At 32.7% G+C, this 4,107-nt stretch overlaps 1 annotated feature.

The window, feature by feature from the left end:
- Nucleotides 626-826: a silencer, noted in NCBI's record as "peak550 fragment used in MPRA reporter construct". NCBI's record gives its function as "represses an SCP1 promoter by STARR-seq MPRAs in K562 erythroleukemia cells {active_cell/tissue: K562}" and the evidence as "EXISTENCE:reporter gene assay evidence [ECO:0000049][PMID:32103011]".

The following is a 4,107-nucleotide window of genomic DNA, read 5'->3' as shown; positions in this document are numbered from 1 at the left end:
CAACATATACCACTATTGTAGTTATATTTATGTGTATTTTTTTTGCCAAATGTGTGTGTAAACCTTTAATTTGTTTCACATATGCTTTTCTAGATGTGTTGTACTTTTACCTCTCAAATGTTAATGCACAATTCATCTGAAACATTTATCTTTCACAACATTTATCAACCTGTCCTTTCTTTTGTTGGACTTTCACTGAAGTGCTGTTCAATATGTTTCTTTCATGATGGGTATGTTTTATATCTGTGCAATTCTATATAATAGCCAAAAGCCTTATAGCTGTTGAGCACTGGATATTTATATAATGCATGTGAGGAACTGAAGAGTTAATTTTATTTCATTTTAATTTATTTATATGTAATTTAAATAGCAACATATGGCTGTGTGGCTGTTGGCAACAACATTGCATCACATAGTGCATTCTCTTCCTTTGGTTTTTTTCTGTGTGTTCAAAATAAATTTAAAATCATAGTTGTATAAATACAGTCAGGAAGGTCTCTAAAACCTCTCCTCTAGGTTAAATAAATCTGTAGAAAGGCTCACAGATCTTAACAAAGTTGTTATACTCATGGTTTCATTTCATGTTAATGAAAGGATACAGATTAAAAGAAGCAATAGAAAAAGGCTTATTGAGCATGGTGCAGGAAAGAACAAGCATGAAGCTTCCTGTTGTCATCTCTTAAAGGAGTTGTGTGAACATATTCCTCCTAGCAACAATGTGTGGCAATACACATGGAGCATTGCTAACCAGGAAAATTCATACAAGGACTGGTATCCAGACTTTTTATCATGTAGACACTGCTGACCACCCATATGGCTGAATTTCGTCTCCAGACCATCCAGAGATTGAGATGACACCATACGGTCCGAAGTCCCCAACATAAACTACATTGTTAGCATAGGTACAGTGGCATAGCACAGGGTCCTACAGCAAATGAAGACACTCTTATCAGGCAGTACATTCCAATAAGTTCAAATTACCCCTCAGAACATCAGTGCAAAACAACAAACCTTTCTTTGGGCAAGGTTAATCTTTTACTGAATATATGTAATACATCTCAAGATAGTAATTTAAGTCCAAAATTATTCTTTCATCAAGATTTTTTGACATTATTGGAACTTTAAATTTTTATATAAATTTGGAATCTATTTTCTCAATTTCTTTATAATTGTTCTTGAATTTCTTGAGCAATGGTACCTAGGAAATTGATAGAAATAATTGAAGAGACAGTTGATGAGAAAAAGTAAAAGTTTTTTAAAATGTCTCTTCTGCCTTTACATTTGGCACTGGGTTAAGAAATTTAGCACAGAGTTTGGGAACACTTTATCAAGAGTTTATATTTTAATCAGGCTTTAAATAATAGCAAGTTAAATTGTTTAGAAATACAGCAAGCATAGTGGTCAAGGATGTGACATAAAGTTACATAAAGTTGCATTGAAATCTTGTTGGATATACAATTCATCACTACTGCTACAACTTGTTTTTATGTTACTAAAATATTTAAGCAATTAGAGTAATCATACAACATGGCAAAGTCTTCAAAATATCATCTGACTATTTAAAAAAGCTGGATAATTTGCTTAGTGAATTCAATCAATAATAGAGTTCAATCATATCTAACACCACCAATGTTATTTAGACTCATTGAAGAAAAAAAGGAAAGTCATAATTTAAAATATGAGACAAATTTATGCAGTGTTTTATGAAGAAAATGCAATTTACAAAATTCAAACAGTGAATATTTAATTGTCAACAAATTGTTTAGCACTTAATAAGTGCTATGCATTGTTCAAGCACTTGATAAATTTTAACTCCTTTAGGGTTGTTAACCTTGTTGGAATGAGTATTTTCTCAATTAACAACACAGTGTTATGTACTTCCTTAGTGTACAAATTTAGAATATTGTGAGCCTGTTTCTCTAGTTAATTGGAGATACATAATACAGTGATTACTGATGCATTCAAAATTCATTAGAAGGGCAAGAGCACTTGGTTTCCTTCCTCGAGTGATTACATAGGCAATATGTAGATCTATAAGCCTCCAGAAAGCGCAGCTATCTTACATACTATCTGAATACACATTTTCCGCTTTCCTCAAAGTATACATAATTCACTAACTCAATAGTCAGGATTGTAATTTTACATGGTTTAGTATGTACTTTGCAGGAATTACTGTTACAACAGCAAAAAGCACTTGGAAAGTATCTAAAATTATTTTTCACTCAACGCTATATATTTCTCTGTCTAACTATGACAGTGCTGCCATTCAGATAAAAGTATTTATGGTGGTGTCAGTTCATATCAAGCACATTGGGACAGTGAGAAAATGTAATCTAGATGGAAGAAAATTTCATCTGATTCTCAAGAGTCCATGCTCTACTGTAATGCATTAGAAATTACTATCAGAATGTTGTAACCTGCACATCATCCCATCTCATGAGACATTCATTATTATAATAGAAGTGCCTGAGGCTTTTTTTATTCTAATACTGTCTTTGTAAGGCAACTGTATAAACAGATGGTTAGTGTAAATACAGTTTAGTGCTTCCTAATAATTATTTCCAGAAAAATAATGTTGGCAGAACAGAAATAATTTTGACACCTGTTTATGTCTACATAAAATGAATGTTGACATAGATATTCGAAAGGGACTTCAACCATTTTTCAAACATAGTATATCTTTGTTCTTATTGCCAATGTTTACATTTTTCATGTTAGCTCTCTGCACTACCTTAAATTTTTATGATAAAACAATTTTTTGTTTTATAAGGCACCTTTCAAAGAATGTTTGTATATATTACCTCTTTTGATCTTCAATCCTGAGGATACATTATCACTCTACATAGGTAGAGTAGCTTGTTCTTCTGAAGAAAATGGCTCAATAACATTATATTTTTCTTTACATAGAGGATACCCTATTTTTTAATTAAACAGAATATAGCTAAGAAATGAGTAATTTGTTGCTTTAAATGGTTTTTTGTTTCTTTGTGTTTTTTTTTGTTTTTGTTTTGTTTTGTTTTGTTTTTGAGACGAAGTCTCGCTCTTGTCCCCCAGGCAGGAGTGCAATGGCATGATCTCGGCTCACTGCAACCTCTGCCTCCTGGGTTCAAGAGATTCTCCTGCCTCAGCCTCCCAAGTACCTGGGATTACAGGCATCTGACACCATGCCCAGCTGATTTTTGTATTTTTTGTAGAGACGAGGTTTCACCATGTTGGCCAGGCTGGTCTTGAACGCCTGACCTCAGGCGTTCACCCACCTCTGCCTCCCAAAGTGCTGGGATTACAGGCATGAGCCACCGTGCCTGGCCTATATGCCTTATTTATTATAAATTATATGGAAACAATATACTTATAATTTAATTAATTTAATTTTTAAATAAAACCAAGGAAAAGCAAATTATAAATTATTTCTTCTGCAATTATTCTTTTTTCCTTTATACAGTTAGCATAAAGTTCGTTTTCTAATAAAATAGCCTCAATATATTATAACATAACTTCAAAAATGATGCCTATATTTTGTATCTGTGTATTTATGTACTGCATACTTTTTTATATAGTATATATTGTGATTAATCCAATTTAATTCATACATTTCTAGAGACTAATTTCATGTCCTTTTCTTCATTCTGTATTTCTTCATCCACTTTTGCATACTGTGGCTGACATTCCAGTGAATTTTTCCCTAGAGCCTTACTTCTCAGAGCAAGATGGGAACATTTTTAGGTAGCCACACTGAACTTGAAGAAGATAGTGTTTGAAGATCAGATTCAGAAAAAATAAAGAAGTCTGAAAGCAATGAAATACTGGATGCCATAATAGCAACCAATAACAAATACTTTGGGATAATATTTTCACATGATTGACTTTGTAATTTTGAAGAAAACCTTGCTCCACTAATTTATTACAGTCTTTTATTATTTGCCGTGTCTTCAGTTATGCTCTCATCGACTTTTTGAAGCCATTTAAGATACGGAGCCCAGTTACTGAGAAACTTTCAGGACATTTTAGGGTGGATTTTCCCATTTCAAATCAGGGTAAATAGTCTTTCACACAATTATAGATAATACTTACTTCTCAGTGCCCGTATCTACCTTACATTTCTCTACC

The sequence above is a fragment of the Homo sapiens genome, chromosome 1, assembly GCF_000001405.40.
Source record: "Homo sapiens chromosome 1, GRCh38.p14 Primary Assembly".
NCBI classification, from domain to species: domain Eukaryota; kingdom Metazoa; phylum Chordata; class Mammalia; order Primates; family Hominidae; genus Homo; species Homo sapiens.
This window is presented reverse-complemented; position numbering and strand designations above follow the sequence as displayed.